Consider the following 26,212-nt stretch of genomic DNA (forward strand, 5'->3'; position numbering starts at 1 on the left):
AAGATCCACCAGCAAAAGAGTGGGCATAGAAAGCGGGTAGACAATCATTTTTTCTTGGTCTATTCAGCTATTGATACTTTATGAAACATGTACAATAGTTACATTCTTTCAAAGTAAAAACTATAAATCAAGTTACACATAAAAAAATAGTAGAGTGGGTAGAATTTCTTGGACTTGTAACTAAGGTTTCCATTCCTTATTCTGCTCCTTCTTCAGTGGGCTCTACCTCTTCTGGCAGGCAGGAAGAGGGAAGGATGGCAACTCATGGACCGTTCTTCCTCAACTGCTTATATCCTATTCCTCCTCATACAAGCCAGAGCAGAGTGAGTTCTATTTTCCTCAGGAAAGGAATTGCTTCACCTAGCTTCATCCATGTCCCTACAAAGGACATGAACTCATCATTTTTTATGGCTGCATAGTATTCCATGGTGTATATGTGCCACATTTTCTTAATCCAGTCTATCGTTGTTGGACATTTGGGTTGATTCCATGTCTTTGCTGTTGTGAATAGTGCCACAATAAACATACGTGTGTATGTGTCTTTATAGCAGCATGATTTATAATCCTTTGGGTACATACCCAGTAATGGGATGGCTGGGTCAAATGGTATTTCTAGTTCTACATCTCTGAGGAATCGCCACACTGACTTCCACAATGGTTGAACTAGTTTACAGTCCCACCAACAGTGTAAAAGTGTTCCTATTTCTCCACATCCTCTCCAGCACCTGTTGTTGGACAAAAAAACCAAACACCACATGTTCTCACTCATAGGTGGGAATTGAACAATGAGAACACACGGACACAAGAAGGGGAACATCACACACCGAGGACTGTTGTGGGGTGGGCGGGGGAGGGATAGCATTAGGAGATATACCTAATGTTAAATGAAGAGTTAATGGGTTCAGCACACCAACATGGCACATGTATACATATGTAACAAAGCTGCACGTTGTGCACATGTACCCTAAAACTTAAAGTATAATAATAATAAAATAAAATAAAGAAGTGCTTCACCTAGTGGTGTAGATAGCATAGTTGTGAGCCAAATTATATTAGTCAAATGTGGTTCAGTGAGACTAATTGTGAATATGCCTGTGAAGCTTACCTCAGGCAGTTACCAAAAGCAAGATGCATTCAAGCATGACATTTCATTGCAGTCCTGTTTTGCTCCAACACAAATCCTCCAATATCCTAACTCACTCAATATCTGCCCCAGGGACTCCACTTTTCTTCTCCTTTCTCTTTAATTGTGCAAGAACATCAAAACTGTACTCTATTTTTCTTATAATTGACAAGAATTATATATATTTATGGTGATCAGCATGATGTTTTGATGTTTATGTACATTGTGTAATAACTAAATTAAGCTATTTAACATATACATGAACTCTTATTATTCTTTTGTGATGAGAACAACGAAAATCTACATTCTAAAACGCAATGTTCAAGGGTACAATATATTGTTATTAACTATAGTCACCATGGTGTATAATAGATCTCTTGTATATTATTCCTGAATTTTTGTTTTGCCAAATAAGTTGTTATGTATGCTGAATGGGATAGGGCAACTTTTGCATACATATATGTGCCCATTTAGTTAAAACACAAAAAATTACATACCTTTATGTAGTAAATATTAAGCTAATCAATGAATAAGTATCTTCTAATTGATATTAATGGGACAGTTTAATGAATGAAATTTTTAATGATCTTTGCTCATATTGATCATTTAGTACTTGTAAACTAGTGACCCACACTCTGTTTTGGTAAATAATCAACTTTGAGAGCAAAAGTTATTTAAATAAGTTTAATCTATGTGAAGTTTTTTGAGTTTTAGGCTCATGTTTAACATTTTTTCTGGGCATTAGAAACTTGATATTTTTCATGTCATTTCTATTCATCACTTTATTCTCAATATGCCATTTATAGGGCATTCTATAACATACATTTTTTGATACTGAAGATGGAAATGTTGCAAAAACATAGCTGAGCAGAGTAAGTGAGAATAGGATAGGTCAGGCTCACTCTGGCAAGAAATTGGATGTTAAAATGGATCCAAATTTATTTTGGGAATTTGTTATAAACCATGAGATGAAAAACACTATGAAGTTAAGGAAATGGTCTGTGAAATAAAAAGAGCCTGTGATAAAGGGGAAGGGAACTGATGAAGGATTTTAATTACCTAGTATATAGCCAAAATATGAAAAAAAAATTGCTTCAGTACTACCTAATATTGCTTCATATTCAATCATATTGCTTTCATTATTTTTTTACACAAATTGAGAGGATTTCTCTATAATTTCAAACTATACACGTTTTCAAATTATCTGTTTAGTTTTGCATTACTAAAACTTGTTACTTTTACTTATTTGATATGTTCTTAAATTTTTATTAATTTGGTTATTCACTAACAAAAGTAGAGAAGATGATTAATAATGATTAGACAGACATAAAATCAATTTGTCACTTTTGTAATGTTTTTCCTGCATATAATCCAGATTGAAGTTGATTTTGTAGCTTTTTTTGACTTAAAGTAACATTTTTATTATGACTAAAAAGCAGATAACAAAACAGACAAGAAGCATGTTATTTTTCATAAGAAAAATGAAATTGAAAATATATTAATATGTGTAATTCAAAAAGGAACCATGAAGGTTCTGCACATTTAGAATGCAGAAAGCACTGGGAATCTTTCTAGATATATTTTGGAATACCTACATAGTTGCGTGCTGAAAGAAAAAACAAAACAATAAAATGTCCAAGATATATTGTTGAATTTTAATGAAAGCACTCCACCTAACATGATCAACTGAACTTGAACTGAATATAAAATTATCACCAGTATGTTCTTTACCTGAATTTATTGCTGTGCCACTTTATTTTCAAGGCCAAAGAAATGAAAAGGAAGAGTCAAAGAAAGTGCTTACAACCAACCAGATTTCCATAATTCTAGATTGTATCGGCTAATTGGTATGACTACCTGGATAGGTACGTTTTATTATTATATGTTGAAACCTTTTTTATGTAAGAAGATTTTTCTTTAGGTCACTGAGTATCTGGACTTCTATAGGAAAAGTTCTAATCTGCATGGTAAGAGATATTATTTTCACTAATTATTATGTTTCAATAGTAACTTTATAGCATTTTTGATACATGCATGAGAAATAAAGGGCCTCTTAGTGTGTTAGGTTATACAATAAATGGTTTGTAGGTGAAGTCAAGCGTACTACTTTCTCATCTTCTACAAGTGTGACAACCTAGGTTCTAGAAAATAGAGTTATTTTACTTTATCATAAAATATAGCAAAAGAGCTACAATATTATTGTTTTGTTTTTTAATTCATCACTTGAGACCTGACGTACAGTGTGGCAACAAGAAGATAGGACATTATTCTTGAAAACTTGCTCCAGAAATGTCGTTTTTTTCTTTTTCTTTTTTTTTTTTTTTTTGAAATCGAGTCTCACTCTGTCGCCCAGGCTGGAGTGCAGTGGTGCGATCTCTGCTCACTGCAAGCTCCGCCTCCCGGGTGGATGCCATTCTCCTGCCTCAGCCTCCCAAGTAGCTGGGACTACAGGCACCCGCCACCACTCCCGGCTAATTTTTTGTATTTTTAGCAGAGACGGGGTTTCACCGTGTTAGCCAGGATGGTCTCCATCTCCTGACCTCATGATCCGCCCGCCTTGGCCTCCCAAAGTGCTGGGATTACAGGCGTGAGCCACCGTGCCCGGACAATGTCGTTTTTTTCTGATAAGATTAGCATAATCTATTGTTTAAAACTCACTTTTCCGGAAGGTTGAGTGGTTGGGTTCATTGTCCAACCCTGTCACTTATTAGTCTAACACTTTGGGCAGCGTTTCTTATCTGATGGATGTCCCAGTCTTCTCATCTGGAAAATGAGGAGAATAATGAAACTTACCTACCTTATACGTTGATTGAAAGAGTCAAATGAGGTAGTATGAAATACTTAGAACAATGCCTAGCACTTGGCAATGTGAAAATTGCCACATAAAAGTGAGCTTTCCTTACCTTCATGCTGCTATTTTAGTTTGAAAGAGACAAATGTTTCCATTTAAGAGTGCATATTGTTTCACTGAAAAATTTAACATGACCCCTTGGGACTGGAAAAGAAATAATATAATTGGTTTTCTCTTGGGTTATTATTATGTGGAAGGTCTGGTGCTTCTAATTGTATAAATTTATATCCAGGGACTTAGTAGAAAATCTGTGTAACTCAGCTATTATTTTGGCATTTCATGGTGATTCAAACACCGTATCTTTTTCCTGGATGGTGTGTATAACAATGTTTTCTCCTTGATACAAAGTTGAGGAAGATTAAAAAAAAGATAGAACTAACACTAACTTTATGATATAGTCTCAGGATTAAAATATCCCCTGTGTTTAATATGCAGATACTTTTTGTTTTGGAAAATTAACCTTGCCAGAAATAATAGTAATATTTATTTTATTTTGACAAACATCATGAAAAAATGATATTTCTCAAGCATTTGTTATCAATTATAATCCAGATAAACTAATCACAGCTAACCTTATTCTTTACGATTACCATGGTTGAGGAGTAACATATAAACCAAGACAGAGAGCAATGAACATAGAATATAAAAATATATATTCTTCCTGAATATTTCCTACACCATGTAAATCAGGATCCATATCAACCCTATTCCATGTTTGCAGATTTCAAAGTATTCCTTAAAATTCTTCAATTACAAGAACTTCCAAAGTTGACTTGTGTAAATGTCACTTCCCTTAGAAAAAAACACTATGAGCTTAACCACGTCTATTTGGGATGATGGAATTGGCAGGCGAACTTAAGAAATAGACTGCTACTAACAGCATTGTCTTTTTGTATTGGAATGCCTCTGACCTGAACCCATCCTTTGAGCTCTTGGAAATATAAGCTCTTTGTGAAATGCATACGTCTTGAAAAAATTGAGATGTTTTGACACCCTGGGACCTACAACAAACTCCAGAATTACTAAATATATATTTCAGATTTGTTTGAGAGTAGTTGTGGGTGAGACTTAAATGAGCCATGAGCCTCAAGTCCCAATTTCCTGATATAGAATATCACACACATTTAAAGCCAATCTACTTTAAGTAATTGCGAACATTTTTGTTCCAATATTTTGATCTCCTTCTAAATAACATTATGGCAAAAGCCCATAATTTCCTCAAGTTCAGATAAGATGATAGTTATAAGCATCTTATGTTCTCTCCCTTCGATACATATAAAAGAAACATATTTCTTAATTAGACATAAGTGTTGTCTAAATTTTGTTCTTGAATATTACACTTGGGAATTGCAAAAGTTATCAACAATTGCAGAAAGACACTTATGACCTTTAGCCACCAGTTCAATTGGTGATTTCACTGTGGACCCCTAAGATAATCATAAAAATGGTTCTTCTACTTGGGTAGAGATATAATTCACAGAACAATTCAAGAAAATATTTGGATCTTTCTTTCTCTAGTATTGAGAGTCGGAGATGTAAGGCTGTGAAATGGCAACACAAAAGTGAAACATTTATAATATAGAAAATAATTGCATATAATTAAGCACACAGCAATTTCATCAGAATAGAGGTAATTATCTAGATTCTTCATTGTAAATCCCAAAGGTAATTTTCATCTGTCTTGTAAAAACATGTGAGGCCACAGTTTATTTCGGAAAATGAATGCCTTTATTTTTGCATTTTACCTAAGGATGATTAAAATACTTTTTAAACATACGACCCTAACTTCCGTGAGCAATCACAGTATATGTACTATTAACTTGAAATATTTACAGTCATATGAGAGGACTCAAAATATTTAAGAAAAGTTTAGAAAAAGGATACAATATTTTGGATATATAATTAATATTTTGCTATTGAAAATTCCTCCTATTAAATCTATTATAATTTTGTCCTAATACTTCAGTTTCAAAATGGTTAATCTAATAAAATTGCATAACAAATTGTTTAAATATTAATAAATAACAATACAAGAAGTATAATATTGCTTATTTTCATAATATATGTAAGATAAAAAATAAAAGGAAACAAAATGTATGGACTAAGATTCTAGGGCAGTTTTTTTTTTTAAAAAAACAGATCTAACGCTAACTATTATGATAGATTCTCAGTAATAAGAATCTTCTTTTGTTTGACTTGATAGGAGTATCTTCTAACAAAAGCATATAATGTTCAAGGGTACCAATTATTTTCTTAACAGAATAAATAATGTGCATTAAGAATATTTTGTCTCAGATAGCAAAATATAAAACCACAGAAGAACATTCAATCATTTTCTGGGTGTTAAGAGATCAATTTGTGAAATCACTTTTGAGAAAACTTCAGTTTCTGCCATGAGCAATACAGTAGTTTCCTTCTACCTGCATGTCGCATAATCTTAAATTTCACAGGAGATATGAAAGAAAAAATATTGTTAGATCAGATGAAACTCTGGAATAGGAAAAGTTATATAATTACAAAATAGCCTTAAAAAGCTTTTTTGTATGATTTTCACAAACTTAAAATGTAATTTGAAATAATATGTGCACATTTCCCCTAGGAATTGTTTTACATTTATGATTATTTTATGCCTAACACTATTCTCTCTTTCAAATATGAACATAGGATTTGATCCTCAGCAAGCATCTCATGAGTACATGGTCTTAAATATTTGGGATAAATGTAATGTTTAAATTTAATACATTATAACTACAAATATTAAAAATCAAAAGATAATTTTAATGAGAAAAAAGTTCATTATTGTTATTATCCCTATTGTTTTTGCCAAAGCAGAATTTAACTTTTTAATAAGATCAATACAAACAATGCATTATCAATATTTATTAAGTAATTAGAGACCTGAGCTATTCTATGTAGGATGAAATCATTTCTTTTTTCTCCTCAAGAACTTTCAAAGGATAATGTTATTTATTATTCATTATTTAACTAAAAATGTTTGACCTATTAAAGTCTAAATATTTTGTCAAAGATCACAAAGACAAAATGACAATGTCTAATTTTTAGTGTAGGTCTTATCTCTGATTCTAGTCCTTGAGTATTAAATAATATATTTAAAACATCTACCTCAATATTCTCAATAATAAACGCTGTCATATTATTATTTTTAATTTTTATTGTATAATATTTCATACACAGGAAGAGGATAAGTAGCATACATACTGATAATTGTAAGACGACAAATACCACTGAAATTAAAAATAAATTTTACACATTTTTCTGTGACACAGAAGAAATCAATATCCTGGCTCTTATGTAGACCATGACCTTACTTTATGCACACACTCACATAAACATACACATACACACATGCACAGAAGTCACAACTGCAGAAATTCCTAAAAGAACAAAATACGCTACTGAGTTTTAGTTGACTTTATAAGGAAGATGTCATGCTGTATGCACTTTTTGGGATTTACTTCTTTGAGCATTTTATTACTAGGATTCATTCATTTCTTTTGACTATTGTGTGATCTCTGATTATATAAGTATGGCAATCATGGTGGTAACAAATCTACTCATCAGATTTTTTTCTTAAATATTTTATCATTTTTATTAGGTATAACTTAATACAACAACACTGACCATTTTTAGCGCACAGTTCTACAAGTTTTGAAAAATACTCAGTTGTGTACCCATCAGCACAAGCAAGACAAAAAACAGTTCAGTCACTCCAAAACCTCTCCATGTCAACTTCATATTAGTTTATAGTCAACATCTCCTCAACCAACAGCCTTTGGCAGCACTGATGGTTCCTGTCCTTATTGTTTTTAGTTTTCCACAAAGCCATATCGATGGAATCATAATATGCATACACTCTGGAAGTTGGGTATTTTCACATAGCATCATGCATGAGATTCATCCATATTATTTCTCTTTAACATGTAAATATGCTACAGTTTATTGATTGATCAGTTAAATGACATTTGAATGTTTTCCAGTTTTAGGTGATTATAAATAAAGCCATTATGAACATTCACTTACTGGGTTTTATTTGAACATAATTATTTTATTTCATTGAGTAAATATATAGAAGTGAGATTTCTGGAATTTAAGGGTTACTTATCATTGAGCTTATAAAGATGCTGCCAAACTGTTTTCCAAAATGACTGTACTATTTTACATTGCCACCAGAAATATATTACAGATCCAGCTGTTCTTCATTCTAGCCAAAACTTGGGATGGTCAGTGTTGTTTTTGTTGTTCTTATTTTTTTTAATCTTAATATTTGTGGAATGATATCTTACTATGGTTTTAATTTGCAGTTCCCTTTTGACTAATAAAGTTGATAATCTTTTAAGTGATTTTCTAGTTTCTAATCCATACATGGTGCATTATAGGCATTCAAAAAACATTTTAAATTAAAAAAATACTATTTATGTACTGAAATCATATTGTACCCCAGAAACATATGCTATTATTATTTGTGCATTAAAAGTTAAACTTAAAAATAATATTCTCACAATTTTTAGAACATTTTTCTCAACTTTACCTATTATAAGAAAGTAGTATTTTTTCCATTTTCTCCACAGTGAGTCAACACTTTTCACAGTTTTGTACTAAAATGAATACCAAAATGCCATTAGTCAACTGTAGTGAATGTTGAAATAGTAGATCTCACCGTAGGAAGTATTCTAATGATATTCTACCAAATGTATTATTAAATACTTTAATTCCTAAAATTGCTATTTATGAGAGAAATGATTCATTCATTGATTAGAGAAAAATACCACAAATAATCAAGAAATAGAAAATATCTTAATAAACCTGAAACTTAGAATACTTATTCAAAATCAACAAATTATGTTCGTTGAGCTATGGTAACATAGGGAGCATTGTAAAAATTGAATTTGTTTGAATTACACTGCTGTTGAAATTTTAGTATCTAGTGTTAATCTCCAGTTGGTAACTATAGCTATATCTGATATTTTCAAGTTGTTTACAGCCTGGAACATAAAATAATGCCCTATAGACTAATTGCATCAGAAGAACATTTAAATGCTATAAGTTCTGCTAGTTCAAGTTTGACCTACATTTAGCCCAGCAAAACTAATCAGCCACAGAAACTTAATCAGTGAATCTAAACAGCAAAGAACTAGGCTATGCTTCTACACACTAGACTCTTTCACCAGAAATATGAAGTCATATTTTAAGTGAGTTATAATCAAAAACAATAAAATCTTTTAATAAAACTTAATCTAGTATTAGCCCATCCTCTAGAGTCTGACACCCATCAGATAAGAGTCAACCATATTAATACATTTTAAAAGACGTTACAAACTATTCTGTTTATATTACACATTTAATGTATACACTATCAACCTGAGATGTTTTGAGAAAAACAGTGTTATTATGGAAATAAAGTGGTATTTGTTTTGTTGCTTTTTCTTGAAATATATATCTCCTCAGCCACAATGCATTGCATAAATCAAGTGAAGTAATTGAATTACAAAAGAATATTTTTGCTTCATTTCCCCTCAATTTCATTCAACTCTAGTCAAAAAAAAGTCTCTTGAAACTAAATGATGAATTATTTGAGGGTATAGAGATAAATTAGTATTTAACAAGGTAGAAAACTACTAGGTTTTAGATAAAACAATGTCAGAGTTTCACTCTTTATGTTCATAGAAAAATCATGTACATATAAGCATACTTAAATGCAAAGATTGGCCACATCATCATAAATTCAAGGTAAAAATATTTCTTCCATATTTATCATGAACATGAAAGTGTATATGCAGCCACAGTACTTGTTATAACTCATAAGCCAATGGAGTCCTAGATAGTGAATGGGTCTAGTATAGAAAAGTACATAGTACAGTGATATATGCAGCAATATCACAAACTTAACAGCTTCATGTTGTCTATTATTTAGTTCATTTTGCCTCCTAAACTTCAAAGGGCAGATGCTACATTACAAAAATTAGATTTAAATATATAGTTTTACTAGTCACTGCACAGTTTGAAACATAGCTGGCACAATAATTTGCAGAGTATTTGCTGAAATCAGTGGTAACATCTATTGGCCCAGAAAATGTATAAACAGAGGGAAGCTGCTGAAAGTCTGTAAGTGTCAGAATTCAAGTGCACACAGTTTACCACGTTTCTGTGAATTGACACTTAATAAAGTCCTCTTGTGTATATCAATATATGACAAAATATTTCCAGCAAATACTGCTTATTTAAATCATAAATCTTCTGACATATCTTGCCAAAAATGTCTATTTACTATGGAGCCATTTCAACAAACACTACATCCCTAGAAACATATTAACCACATCATATATGATGAATAAGTTCAGGTCTCAATAGAATTATATTAGAGATTTTTTTCAATTTTCAATTACACAAGTTGTAGTTATTTATCTGCTTGCACATAATACTGAGTGACAAATATAGTCATTGATTCCAGGTAAATCCGATTACCAAAATCTGTGATTTTCTTACTATGCTACAATATCTTATTTTAGCCTACTATCTTCAAACACAGTGATGAAAGAAGTTTTTGTGCAACTTGAAAAGCATGAGGTTGCAGAGTATGAAAAAAAATTTTGAGTCATAGTGCCTGGATATATTAGGATTTCTCAGAAAAACCAAATAAATACCAACAATGTGCGTGTGTGTGTGTGTGTGTGTGTGTGTGTGTATAAATTTATTATAGGAAATTAGCTCACTGGTTATGGAAGCTGAGAAGTCCCCTGATCTGCCATTTGCAAGCTAGAAACCCAGGGAAGTCAGTGGTTCCAATCTGTGTCAAAGGTCTAAAAATCAAGAGAATAATGGTATACATTCTAGTTCAAGCCAAAAGGCATGAGAGTTAGTAGCATCTATGATGTAAATCCCATGTCCCAATAAGACCAATGTCCCAGCTGAGTCATCAGGGAGAAAGACAGAATTCATCGTTTGTTGGTCTTTGTGTTCTATTCAGTCCCTCCGTGAATTGGATGATACCCACCCCACGGAGGAGGGTAATGCTCAACGAACTCAAATACTAATCTCTTCCAAAAACACCCTCACTGACACCCTCATAAATAATGTTTAACCAAATATCTGGGTATGTTGTAACTCATTAAAGTTAACACATAAAATTAACCATCACATTAGGTTAAAATCCTGCTTCTGCTTCTTTTTATTTGTGCAAGTTATAAATATGTAGATAGTGAATTAAAAAGAAATTTCTTAACTTGTTTGCACCTTACATTTTTCATACGTAAAATGGAAGTGATAATGAAAATAACCTACCACAAAGTGTTGTTGTAAAGAATGGTTAATATTTAAGTAATTAAAACTGCTTTATGAGAGACAGATTTAAGTATGGTAGTTTGAGTAGCTCTGTGGACATATTTCTCTGATAAACTGATAAAATTTATATATACTTTAAAAAAACTAAAGTCTCTGGAAATTTTCCTTAGTATATACAACAAACAAAGAAGCATTTATTCAAGAATATTTACTGCAGTTTGATAAAGACAACAAGAGTCTGTGCTACTTGAACTGAGACCTCTCCTCCTTCCCCTCCCACTCAGTGAGACAGAAACTCCACTCCATACTGATGCAGATCCCTCTCCCCCAAGTAACAATAAAAAGACTATCTTTCCAGGAGAGACAGAATTTCAGAAGTTTTCATCCTGGCCATACCTACCTGTTGCTGAAGCTATATATACAAATAATAAGGAGTATTGTAGTTACAAATTAATTTTTATTTTTAAATTTATTTTTAAGAGACAGAGTCTCTCTCTGTCACCTAGGTTGGAATGATCATAGCTCACTGAAGTCTTCAACTTGTGGGCTCAAGTGACATTGCTGCCTCAGCCTGCCAAGTGGCTGGGACTACAGGTGCACACAACCACACCTGGATATTTTATTTATTTTTTATTTTCTTTAGAGACAGGGTTTCGCTATATTGTCCAGGCTAGTCTTGAACACCTGGCTTCAAACGATCCTCCTCCCTCAGCCTCCCAAAGTGCTGGGATTACAGGTGTGGGCCACTGTGCCTGGACCAAAATAAATTAAATAATATAAATGTAACAGAGAAAGTTATTTTTGTATTTTTTTAAAAAAAGCTAGTCCTTTGAGACACACAAAAAATTGACAAACTAGATTAACCAAGGAAAAAAGAGAGAAAACATAAATGACTGGAAAGAGAAATAAAAGACAGGCCATTACTCCTGACTTTGGAGAAATAAAAGTAATAATAAAGCAATAGTGTGAATAATTATATGTCTCAGCTTAAAAAGTATAGATAAACAAATTTCTAAAAAGATAGACATTATCAAAATTAAGAAAAAGTAGAAAATCTGAATATAAGTGTGACAAATAAAAAGGCTATATGATTAAACAAAAACAACACACAAAGAAAAGCTCAAGCCCAGATGGCTTCACTCCTGAATTCTACCATATGTTTACAGAAGAAATAATACCAATTCTTCATAAACTCCTATACAAAATAAAAGAGACTAGTATCACACTGATCAACAGAGACATCATTAGAAATGTATAGTCAAATATATCTTATGAATATGGATGCCAAAAAAATTAAATACCAGCAAATGGAATCCAGAAACATATACATAATTATATATCAAGATCAATTGTTTATCCCAGGAATGCAATTCAATATACAAAAATCAATTGTATTTGTATACACTTTCAATGAACAATCTAAAAACAAAACTAAGAGAAAAATTCCATTTACAGTAGCATCAAAAAAAGACAAATAACCCAATTAAAAATGGGCAAAGGATCTTAACTGACAGTTTTCCAAAGAAGATATACAAATGACCATTGAGTACATGAAAATGCAACATCTGCATTTATCATTATAATGTAAATCAAAGCTACAGTGAATTATCACTTCACATCCACTTAAATGGCTAGATTTACAAAGTCAGATGAAAACGAGTTCTGGCAAGATTACGGGGAAATCACAACTTTGCCATGCTGTTGGTGGGAATATAAAATGGTGCAGGCCCTTTGGTGAACAGTTTGGCAGTTTCTGAAACAATTATGCATAGAGTTACCATATGTCTCAGTAATTCCACTCCTAGGTATATGCCCAATGGAAATGAAAACATATGCCCACACAAAGGGTGTACATGAGTATTTATAGTAGCATTATTTATAATAGCCAAAATGTGGAAACAATCCCAATGTTCAGTAATAAATAAAGAAAATAAACAAAATATAGTATATCCAAACGATGTAATATCATTTGGTCATAAAAAGGAATAAAGTACAGAGACACATTACATGCCTTTGATGCTTACAAACTTATGCTAAGTAATAGACATTGGTCACAGAAAACACACATTATATAAAATATTCAGAATAGACAAATCTGTAGTGATGGAAACTAAATTAGTAGTTCCTTAGGATGGAGGGGAAAGAATGGGGGGATATGGGGGTGATAGCAAAAGGGTATGGGTTTTGTTTATATGATTAAAATGTTCTAATATTGACTGGGATGATGGATTTACATATGCACAAATATGCTAAAGACCATTTAATTGCATATTTTATTATATGAATTTTATGATATGTGAATACCATATCAATAACTATTTAAAAAAATAAAACTGCTTGACTGCCAGCAAAACATCTACAAGCATTAGCTTTTGTTATTATCTGTTCCTTCTGAGATGTAGCACTTGACACCAACCATTAAATCCTATATCCAAGTCTTCTTTGAATTAAAACCATATGCCGAGAGTTTTCCCTCTTTGGGATTTTGCCTGTTTAGTAGAGTCTATTAAAAAAAATTCAGCACAGCATATAACAAAAAAGTAAGTGTAGCTTTTCTCTGCCATGTGGAAAGGCAATTCAAGGTATCTAGGTTGCAGTTTTTGAATAAAACAATGCAATATGTACAGACCTGGCTTTTGAATTATGTAATACATACGCTAAATGTTTCAGTTTCGTCAGGTGGAAAATAATTTCCAGAAACTATGATCCATAAAACCATTATGGGTTTTATGTTTGTCTAAAAAGGCAGATTTCCTCTGGGAAGTGAAGTGCAAGTACACATACTAAAAGTTTACCTTGTATAATAGGACACGGACTTGCTTATCTCTACCAGCTCTTCCACTTATAGACTATTACTCCTAGAGAGGAAGTGGTGCTAAGTAAAAATACAGCCGTTATTTGGATTTATTCATAAAAACTGAGTGGGCAAGTTGACAATCAATGTGCTCACAGATAGTTGAAATAATCTTTTTTTTCTCCCTTAGAGCAAAATAGACACTTCTTGAAACTACACAAAGATTTTCAAGCCATTTGACTTAAAAGCTACAACCTAAGAAGTCGTAGCTGATCTATTTGGAAACAAATCACAGTAATTTCAGTATTTACGTGGAAATTGCTGGATTACTGCATATGAGCATTTTTAACATGACTGTATTTATGTATAGCTATGAGAAAAGGGAATAAAAAATAGAGGAAACAGAAAGCAAGGTGGTTATTACACAACCCCGGTTGTCCAACAATCACCATTCAAGTGTTTGCGAGAATGGCTATCATTGGGCTGGCTACAATTTGTTACCATTTTCCTTGTCTTCCTTTTCATTTACTCTTTTATTTTCTCATCGATATACTCAAAATTTAGATTCTTTAAAAAACACTACTTCATTCTCCTGCCAATATTTTTTGTTATATTCATTTACATTTTTGATGAGTTGCTCTGAATAAATGCTTGCTCCTTATTCTGTGTTTAGATTTCTGTTCTATTCCCATTGCCTTTCCTTCCCATGCTTCTGTTGTAGACAAGCTGACAGTAACTCTGCAGTCTTTACAACACAAACTTGAAATTCCCATAAATTGTATCTCTACCTCTGATTTTCTACTCTCACCAAATTACATTTTCTCACATACTCAAGATTATACTCTCCTACTCATATATAATAATTGTCCCGACCTTTTCAAGTTTGTTTTGTCTCTACACGCCTTTATTTTTATTTTCAATGGTTTTATTATTTTTCTCTTTTTTAACTACATTTAAATGTTAACTTTTGTTGTCTTTCAATATGTGCAGATTAGTATTCCATAACAACTACCTGGATAAATTCTAATTGTTCTTCTGTAATACAGGTAGTTTTGAGTTTTGATGAACAAACTTATAAAATTGAATTGATTTAAATGTAAATTTCACACAGCTGTTTTATCAATATGAATCCTGGTAAATTTTTTTAAAAACTTTTTCACCCAATTACGCACACAACAGAATATCAAGACTGTCATTCAATCCTTAACTGTTACACTGATTAACTGATCCTCTTTACACCTACAAAAGTTTATTTGTATTAAATAAAACACAAATATCACTGAAGGGAGAATTACTTTACATTAAATTGAGAAATGATTGTTTAGTATGGGAATAAGACATTGTAATTCAGGTCTTTGTATTTTCTCTTTATTAATGTGTTAAAATAATCAACTGAGGATAATCAGGAACTCCAGAAAGAGTAAAAGTATCCAGATTCTAAACATGGAATTTATTTTTCTGTTAGGGAATCTTATTCAGTAAGAAAATATATTTAAGTATAAAATTAAAAGAATATACATTTTGGAGCTTTGAGAAAAAAAAGAATTTCAATTTGTGGTGACCAACCCAGTAGCAATGAGCATCTTTCAGTATCCAGTCCAGATCTGATAGAAAATAAGCATGGTATCAAACTTATCACACTCTGATGTCATGTCAAAAGGATTTAAAAGTCAAATTTAAGTGAGGTCTGCTAGCAAAAGAAGTAATTTGAGCTTCAGGAAGAACTACAATGGATTGAAACTCACTCAACAAAAAATGTTAAAATTTATAATTTTGTAATAATATTAAGAGAATAACAAAACCAATTGGTCACTTTCTGAGATAATATGGAACAAATCAACTATCTGGAAAATTTAAAAAATAAAAAAAAATCAAATATTTTTTCCTTTCCTATTTCAACTTTATCACTGGGTAATGAAATAATAGAAGAAAATAATTATCTTATAATAATATTCAAGCTAAAAAAGAAAAGAAACCAATAAATTGATGAATAAAGGACTTACGTTTGAGCATCAGTGACTGCTAACACTATAAAAAAGAAAGGAAACCATACGTTACATATCACCAGATAAAAGACTAAAACATGACCAATGGTCTTGTTAAATAAATACAATTATATCAATCACAACTCTAAAGCCAGCTTCCAATTTTCATTAAAGATAGAAAACAAAGAAGCATGAAAAATTCTACACTGAGGCCAGGTGTGGTGGCTCACATCTGTAATCCCAGCACTTTGGGAGGCTGAGGTAGGCGGATCACTCGAGGTCAGGAGTTTGAGACCAGTTTCTATTAAAAACACAAAATTAACCTGTAATCCCCCAGCTGCTCAGGAGGCTGTGACAGGAGAATCGCTTGAACCCAGGAGGTAGAGGTTGCAGTGAGGCAAGATCACGCCTGTGCACTCCAGCCTGGATGACAGAGTGAGACTTCATGTCAAAAAAAAAAAAAAAAAAAAAAAAAGAATTCTACATTGAGTAATCTGCAAACTCCAGACTGTGGAACATTCTAAAAATCAAATAACCTGGATGTTTCAATAACTATATTATCCCCTGCAGAAATTAATTTTGTGACGGCTTTTGCTTTATGTTCCAAAAGGGGCTGCTGATCTTTAAAGCCCAATAATTCCCCTAGTATAGAGTAGCAACCCCCCTTATCCATAAGGAATATATTTCATGATCCCCCACTGGATGCCTGAAACCACACATGGTACCAAACTATATACAATATGTTATTTTTTTCCTATATATACATATCTGTAATAAAGCTAATTAATAAATTAGGTTTAGCAAAACATTAATAAAATAGCCTGTGGTTTGTGGGGTGGCAAACTCCTGTAATTCCAGCACTTTGGGAGGCCAAGGCTGGTTAGATGGCTTGAGGCAAGGAGTTTGAACCAGCCTGGTCAACATGGTGAAACCCCGTCTCTAATAAATATACAAAAATTAGCCAGGTGTGGTGGCACACACCTGTAATTCCAGCTACACCAGAGGCTGAGGCAGAAAAATCGCTTGAACCTGAGACGCAGACGTTTCAGTAAGCTGTGATCACGCCACTGTACTCCAGCCTGGGTGACAAAGCAAGACTCTGCTTCAAAAAAACAAACAAACAAAAAACATTAACAATGATAATAAAATAGGATAATTAGAACAATATTATATTTAAAAGTTATGTAACTATAGTCTGTCTCTTTCTCAAAATATCTTATTATTACACACGCAAATTTAATACCTTTCCACTTAACTAAGCACTTGTCATATACTGTGGCCACAACTTAACTTTTGTAGTTTGAGTTGTGACAGCAAAGCTAGCAAGAATTTATTTTTCCTTCTTCACAATTTTTGAGATAGAAGATTCATGCATACTGTAGATCTTAGCAACCACGCCATACATTTTTTTCTTTGCTTATTAGGTAATGAACTTTCACCTTTTCAATTGAAGGAAGCATTTTATGGCTTATCTTTGGCATATCAGAATTGCCAGCATCACTACTCTTGCATTTTGGGGCCATTATTAAGTAAAACAAGGGTTACTTGAATACAAGTGCTGTGATATTGTGACAGCTGGTAACCAACATGTCTATTAAGTGACTAATGGACAGGCAGCCTAGATAGCATGAATATGCTGGACAAAGGAATAAGTCACGTCCTGCGAAGGATGGAGCAGAATGGCAGCAAAATATTTCATTACAATACTCAGATTGGTGTGCAATTTAAAGCTACAAATTTTTTGGTAATTTTTATTTAATATTTTGGGAACAAGGTTGACTGAAGGTAACTGAAACCATGGAAAGCAAAACCTCAGATAAGAGGGGGGTTTAGCAAAAGGGGTTCCAGCAATATCCTTCATGAAGACAGCCAGGACAGTACCTGGTGCAAGACTCCCCCTTAGCCACATCCTTATTCCCTCCTCAATCTCGGGGTGGGTGTCTTTTGATTCCAGAGCTCATTGTTGAAATCACTTATGTGCTGTTACTAGAGGTATACAGATGGTCGAAGTATAACCACAGGTGATTTGTAAGGCATAGTACAGTTGACCCTTGAACAGTATGAGTTGTGCAGGTCTACTTACATGCAGATTTTTTTTCAATAAATACAGGTAGGTCTCCATGTCTGTATTCTGCATCAGCAACAAAAGGCAGATCAAAAATACAATACGATAGGATGTAAAACTTACAGATAAGAGGGCCTACTTTTCCCATATGTGAGTTCAACACGGCCAGTTGTGGGACATAAGTATGCCCAGATTTTTGTATATGAGGAGGAAGGGGGAGTAGGGATCAGGAACAAATCCTCCCTCCATGAATACTGAGGACCTAATTTAGTAAGTGTCTCTAAAAGATGGCAAAATTTGCATTCAGTTGCACTAGGCCAACATTCTGGAAATTATTTTTGCTTTTCTTTTCTGTCTTGAAGAAAATGCTTACATCCATATCTATAAGACAAAAAGAAGAGTGGTATTTTTCACAATGTCTGTTATTTATGACTTTATGCAAAATTATTTTTTTTCTGGAAATCTCTCTATTTACTGACACTTCTATTCTTGCTTCCAATTCCACGCTTGTGGAATGGCATACAATTGACTGAATGACACGCATTAGATCTCCTTGAATTGGTTCCTGCACCCCTGCTCTCCCAGAAATCTAGAGTTGTGTGTTGCATGTCTTACAGTCTAGTTTGTCCACCAACCAGACTGAAACCAGGAATTGAAACAAGCTCTCAAATTGGATGACTGGGAGTTCCTCTGCTTACTCTTTGGCTAAAAGTCTGTCTGTCTTGTGTCCCCTTCTGTCTAATGAGTGGAAAATTTTATAGAGGTTGCTGACTTCAGACAGCACCAACTAAAACCAAGTTAAGGCTGCAGGAGGCAGCATGGTTGTGTGGTGACATGGGTTAGGGCGTATGTATGATTACTTTTCAAGTTGTGCTATTGTTTAGGAAAATATCCTGATGAGTAGTAGTGCTTCAAATAATAATAACAAAATGTTTCACAACATAAGACAAAAGACAGGTCTTATTAAATACTCAGGCAAGATAGTCAAATTTTGGAGATGGTGATTCTCTGTGGTTTATGGTTCATATTATTGGGGACTGAGCCCCAAGTAAAAATTTAACTCTATTACATAGTTTAAATTACAGAAAAATTCAGCATAATAGAATTAGAGTGAGAGGATATATCTCACTATTCCATATGTGTTGTTTATTAAAGCACTAGTCTAGAGAGATTGTAGGTCAAGATAAAGTTTAATATTTTTGGAGACAGAATGTCATTGTAAACATTTTACTTAGACTTTGTGTATTTCTATGAGAGTCTTATTTTTCTTTTCAATGAAAGGAATAATCCTGCAGTTGGAACTCTTCTGAAATCTAAAGCAGGCAAAGAGCACTTCACAAGCCAGAAGTACTGCTCATTTCATGTGCATTTGATTCTGACATTAATTAAGACTCATTCATATAATTTTCATTCAAACAAAAAAAAGCCATGTTTTAGTCAGTGCTCTCTGCTCTCTAATTCATGCAAAAATAGTTTCAATATTTTAAACTTTGCATACATTTCACCCCTTTGATGGTGGATCTGTTCCATTTAGATTACTCTATAGTGCACACAAATAAAAGATTTATATGGCCAATTAATCTTCAAAAGTTTTTAAAAGGAGCCAGGCATAGACACAAAAGTGGTATAATTGAAAGTTAACTGTTGTAAATCTTCCTTTTTATCTTCTTTCTTAAAGAAGAGAAAGGCTTCAAAAAATTAGTCACACACACACAAACCACAGAGAGCCATCTGCCTTAGTTTATCAACTTCAGCCACTGATTAAATGTACATATAGGAACAATTGTCTGCATCTCAACAAAATTCACCAGTCAGTTGCAGCAGTTTCACGGTGGGAAGGTTAGGGAGACATGAATAAGTTTCTTGAGACGTTTCTTGAACCAATAGCTAATTTTCATTTCAGAAATAATTTTCTTTTTAAAATTTAGCCCTTTTTAGGTGATTTGAGTTCACAGGAGTGTGCAAACAACACAAACATTAAGAGTTTTAGAAAATAGGTTACACACAGTGGTTGGATATGTAATATGAGCACTTTGTCATCTTTGCATTAGGTAGAGATCACAGCCACATATCTTACTAAATTATGTCCTTATGATATGGGGTCATAGGGAAGGTTATCTAAAATATCAGGAGATATTAGAATTCTTAAGATGAACAAACTGAGAGGATAAACACAAAGATACAACCAGTGTTGCTGCCACTTGAAAAAAGCCCACATGGTCAGATAATATAATAAAAACCAGCCTGTCAACATTGCTCATAAAAAACCAAAAATCAAAATGATGCACATTTACAAAATAAAAACAGACTTGGCTGGGAAACAAAACAGCTTCAGAAACAATCAACAAGAATAAATGATCTTCATTGCTTGACTAGATATACTACAGGAGCCAAGAAAAGTGGATCTAGGTGTGAGACATAAAAATTGCATTTTAGAAGCAACACAATTTGTTTTGTTTTATTGGGTAGATCTGCCAGGAAATTTTAATATTACCTCTATCAATGAAGGAAAAATCTAGACAGAAAAATGTATTTTTATTTGCAAAGTTTTGCAGGAATGTTCAAAATACTATGAAAACAAAAAAAAAATCTTAAAACTTTAAAAGGAATGAAAAACACTGTAATGAATGAACATATAAATATTTTCATATTTATAATTATTTCAAGGGCAGTTGATTGATAGAGCAAAAATAATAGCAGTGCAATGTAGGATTTATAACTTTTAGAAGTAAAACATATGACAGCAATTATACAAAGCATGCGTAGGAGTGAAAGGAATTACACTATGGTAAGCTTCCTACAAATTTGAAAAGTGATATACTATTTAGTAAAGGATTACTATGAGAAGTTCAGGATACATATTATAATATCCAGATCCACCAAAATTTCTAATTTAAAAATTCATTAGAAGATATTATAGAGAATTCCAAAAATATTCAATTAATCTCAAAGACAATGGGAAAAGAGGAAGAACAAAAACAAAACCATAAGAATAAAATAGAAAACAAATGCAACATGGTAGACATAGGTTTTAAGGTTATCCCTGAATGCAAAGCATATTTTTTTCTCTTACTGAGGTATGTGATGTGTTTAGCCATAGTGGTTGCAGGAAAGTTCCAGTTTTGTTTTTTAAATGAGAAGAATGTATGAATCATTGCCTATCTGAAAAGCCAAAATAATTCTTTATCTCTTTCTCACACGTCATGTTTTATCTCTCATAATAGATTTATATTTTAGTTAAATGTAAACTTGAGAATCCAAAATAATTTTCTCTTGGAAATGAAAAGACAATACTTGCCAGGCACAGTGGCTTATACCTGTAATCTCAGCTATTCAGGAGGTTGAGGCAAGAGGATCACTTGAGCCCAGGAATTTCAGGCTGCAGTGAGCCATAGTTATGCCACTGCACTCCAACCTGGACAGCAGGGTGAGACCCCATCTTTACAAATAAATAAATAAATAGACGGTGCTTAATTATTTTCTACTTTACAGATGTGCCAGTCTAATGACCACCTGCTACTTGTTTTATGGAACAAGTTCATAGATATTTTCAACCAGAAGACTGATGACTATCATCAGTTAACAAAAAGTTTCTTCTATTGTTTTGGATGATTTATTTCTTTCCACTTTTTTCTTTCCTATACCACTGGACATTTTATTATAAAGATGTGGGTATGGCTCTTTCATCTGATATTTTCTGTTTTCGTACATTGTGCTTTACATTCTAGAAGATCTCCGCAGCCTTACACGCTAAATCAGTACATAATGTACATTTTTAGCTGCGAGAATAATTATTATTAGAAAGGCCAGGTGGAAATTTTTGGAAGTGTGCTTCACTATCAAAAAAGTAAACCAAAGACCAGCAAAAATAGAAGTACTTATTATATTACTACAGCGCCTAGAATATTTTAAAAGCCAAGTAAGAAAGTTCTTCTACATTCCCACTTAATCATCTTTTGGATTTTTGCTGTGCATCTTAAAGAACTGCCATAAATTAATGTAGGCAAAATTAGGTAGTGACTCCAATTTCAACTTATGTTTCATATACAGACTCTTTGGTGGGATAAATCAATAAAGCTAAGTATCTGGCAAATAACCAATGATTTTGTAAATGACTTCTGTCTATAAAAATACACAGGAGAAAATAGAGGCAATCTCTTTTCTCATGGACAATGACAACAAAGTACCTTCATTCAAAGCTATAACTTTGCTCTGGCCTTTATCACTTTTCCAGCTCTGCTTTATGTGCAAGGGTCTTCATTATGCTGACCCACAGCACTGGTGATCTAAAGATGAAAGTATCATACATAAAAATTTAAAGCCCCCCCACCTCATTGAAACGTCTGAGCTGCAGGTTTCTGAGGCATGTTAACATAGCTCCTTCAAAGTGAATAACAAATTGATTTGTCCTGAGCCCAGTATCAATAAGAAAGTGTTACAAGACAAGTCTCTGTATTTTGAGTCAACATGTACCGAATTTGCATGTATTGCTCTAGTTCATTCATATAATGACCATTAATAGTCTCAGCATAAAGAGATACCTAGAGCAAGAAAGTGTTCTCCAGCTTTTCTGGGATGCAGTGCTAACAGAGTTTTAATTTAGCCTGGAACCAACTGTGCTTGAAGTGTCTATTGCAGACGGTATGCTTTATGTAACCTTAGGCACACACTAATAGAAGAAACATAGAGTAGGTTCTGATAGTTTTAGAGCAAAGCAAACAATATCATCTTAGAAAATGAATATTTCCTTTTAATTAGGTAGTGAATTCTGGTAATTTGAAATTGCTTCCAGAAGTTAAGACTAGAGCCTGCACTTCCAGCTATTCCAAAAAAGTTTTAATCACCTGATGCTTGCTTATGTATCCCTGTCTTTCCAAATTATCTATTCTGTTATATACCATGAAATCTGAACCAAGAAACCATGTCTTTATGGTGCAGCTCAAATTCCCACTCCTATAAAAGGCACATCTGAATTGACTCAATTGGAAATTTTATCTTCCTTGGTCAGCTATCACATAGTACTTAAATTCTACCTTTCAAAAACACTTATTATATTATTCTCATGCGTGTTAGTGTTCTTATTTTATTGAGATGGTGAGCACTGCTCCTAATAGAATCTCCTACATAAACGTAGTCATATTAGTTCAGCATAATGATACCCAATACTGTATCAAAATATGTCTAATTTCATATATATGAATTCCCAATTCAGTAAGTAATGTTAATAAGCTTTCTTTTAATATCCTAAATTGTTTACCACCAATTAGATGATGAAATAAGTTTTCAAATAAAACTACATTTTTTAGGAAGGGGAGAAAGAGAAATCCAAATGTTCTCCCCAAAATGCCTATCTCGTCAATAAAATTAGATATAGTGAGCCTATTTTCCATATTAAGCATTATTTATTTTTTTAGTTTAGTAAAGATAAAGGAGCGTGATAAACATTATATAATATTTATCTTCCTGAAAACATCAATTCATTGATGTTAAGGTATAATACTGAAGTGTGGTATATGTTGAAAAATTAACATGCTTGGATAAGCATCCAAATATTTTATGTTTAAAAGTCTCTACCATAAGATGTTTTTGCTATTAAACAATAGAAATAATGAAAGAAAATTTTGTGAGTTACTTGATTCTAAATTCTTAAAATAAAACAATTTGTCTGCATATTTTGCACATTCATTCTAAATCTACCACTGTAGTTCACACATAGAAGTATTCATAGTAGTGGTGAGAGAATGGGTCTCAGGATTGCAGAACCAGTGTCTTGAGTAAGAATGATAAAACCTGGAAAAACAAAAGGATTAGACATTTTTAGATGTGCTCATTAATTTGCAACCCATTCTGCTCAGGAATTTTAGAATAGCTCTTGATATTTAGTGAATGGTGAAGTTATGTAAGAAAAAAAATGCTGATCAAAATCGACCCTACTAGAATTTATTTTTATTGCTCTCTCTTCTGCCACTTGCTATAGATGCTGAGCTTGGAACAGGCACATCATCTTGAGTATGGAAAAATGGCTGCTAAAGCAGACATATTCCAGGATTATTTTAAATTTTATTGTCTTTGTGAAGGATGTACAAAATATGAAGCTTTAACATCAAATAAGTCACTTATTATATTAATATTGAATAATAATTTTCAAAGGACCATAAGATATTGATGACATCCTCCTGTTAAAAAGGCTTTTGTGATTCAAAACACTGAAATTTTACCATTCATCACTTTGAGATGCCAACTTCAAAGATTAAGAAATCCTCCTCATTGCCCTTAAGTATGGGATAAAAATACTATTTAAAAATAGAAATGTATAATTTTTATACTGTGAAAATTTAGAAGTACATATTCTGAGCTAATAATTGGTAGCATTTTATGTACCATTACCTACAAGACATTATAGGAAACACTTTGTGAATCACTATTTTGATTGCTTGGATGTTGTCACAGATAGGATAAACTGAAATAAACATTGAGCAATTTATGAGGACTAGTGAAAAAAATATCTTTTTGGAATTAATAGAAAGAAATAAGAGTATTTACCAAATGATCTTGCAGTCAACTTTGTGGTTATAGGATGCTTAAAATCTACATCTGAAAAGCATATTAAAATTGAGTGCTCTCATTTTGTGTACTAAGCCCTTCTGCTTCATTTAATTATTTGTACTTACATTTTAACTTTGAAATTATTCTTTCATTCATTCATTAGATTTCATGTATCATTGAATGCTCCAATTATTTCTTCTTCACTTCGTCAAATGTCACTTAATGATTAACATATTGACCTAGTCAATGATAATACTTACTGACCACTATGTGGTAAAAACGTTAAAAATATAAAATTGGTCAAGAAGGTGTATCAAATATTACAAATGTACTACTTTCACTCAAATGCATGATATTGCTTTTACTGCACACTCTGGCATTTTTGTTGTCGTTGTTGTCCCTATACTGGATATCTACAGGAACTAGTCCAGACATTCTGACACATCTGCAAACCTGAATGTGGAAAGAGTTAACAGCCCATGAGGATCTCATGTTTTAATCTCTTGCCACTTTTAAGTTCTTGAATAAATGATCATTTATTTTAAGCTTATTTTAAATGGAAAACAATCTGTATTTCAATTCATATTCTTAACTCCTGCTTAATTTATTACGATTGTCAAACTCATAATCTAGTTATTTATCTTATCTGTATTCCCACCAGACCTCATATGGAAATAAACTCCAAGGTGGCAAGATATTAGTCTTTTTGTTAATTTTTGTCTCCTTACTGCACAGAAAATTTCCTGGTATATAAATATTCAATAACTATTTGTTGAATGAATTAATAGAATAATATTGAAATGGCAAACACAGGAGGCATAAGTATTTGAATGTGAAGACAGGGGATATGAATGAGATAAAATGTTGAGTTTTTGGCCTGATGTAAGATGCTAATGGGAAGGTGGTTCTGAGTATGAGCAATCATATCTGGACGCAAGATAAATATTTCAAAATTCATACCTTAGAAATATTCATTAAAGTCATTGGAACAAAGTAGATAATTAACCATAGCGCTACAATGGGGAAGAAAGGGAAATGAGCTTCGAACTCTGAAGAATGCTATTATTTGAAAAATCCATTGAAAAACTGCTTACAACTTTTCCACAAAGGAAGATAGCACGATATTATAAAATTCAATTAAAAAAGCAATAAAAGTCTATCAAAAGCTAAGAAGCAGCATCACCAATGCTGTTTGTCAAAAAAGATAGATTGTGAACAGTCAAGTATTTTGTAAAATGTTCACCAATGGGGAATTTTCTGATATTTTTCCTAAAATTAGACTTGGGTTATGGGTTTTTTGGAGGAACAGCATTGAGGTCAAACACTAGTCTCATCACCATCCTATCAAATGTACGTTATGTAAACATTACTTGTCACTGTTGACGTTAACCCTGATCTCCTATTTGAAATAGTGAGTGTCATATTTCACTACAATAAGCTATGTTTTTCCCCTTTTCCAAACAATACTCTTTGGAAGAAAGTCATTATGTGTAGCCCACAGTTAAGAGTAGGAAGTTATGCTCCACTTCTTTGAAAATAGAATGTCCTC

The 26,212-nt window shown here is 32.7% G+C and overlaps 1 long non-coding RNA gene across 1 annotated transcript in view; it reads right to left on the minus strand.

The window, feature by feature from the left end:
* Window positions 1-56: 56 nt before the first annotated feature.
* Window positions 57-26,212, minus strand: part of LINC00355 (long intergenic non-protein coding RNA 355) — an 89,641-nt gene continuing 63,485 nt past the window's right edge. The window contains exons 3-6 of the long non-coding RNA NR_145420.1: window positions 17,034-17,151; window positions 16,071-16,095; window positions 3,782-3,886; window positions 57-725 (exon numbers count right to left, since the gene is read on the minus strand). This is a non-coding gene — a long non-coding RNA (long intergenic non-protein coding RNA 355). The remainder of the gene's footprint in view (window positions 726-3,781; window positions 3,887-16,070; window positions 16,096-17,033; window positions 17,152-26,212) is intronic.

Source organism: Homo sapiens, chromosome 13 (assembly GCF_000001405.40).
Source record: "Homo sapiens chromosome 13, GRCh38.p14 Primary Assembly".
NCBI classification, from domain to species: Eukaryota; Metazoa; Chordata; class Mammalia; order Primates; family Hominidae; genus Homo; species Homo sapiens.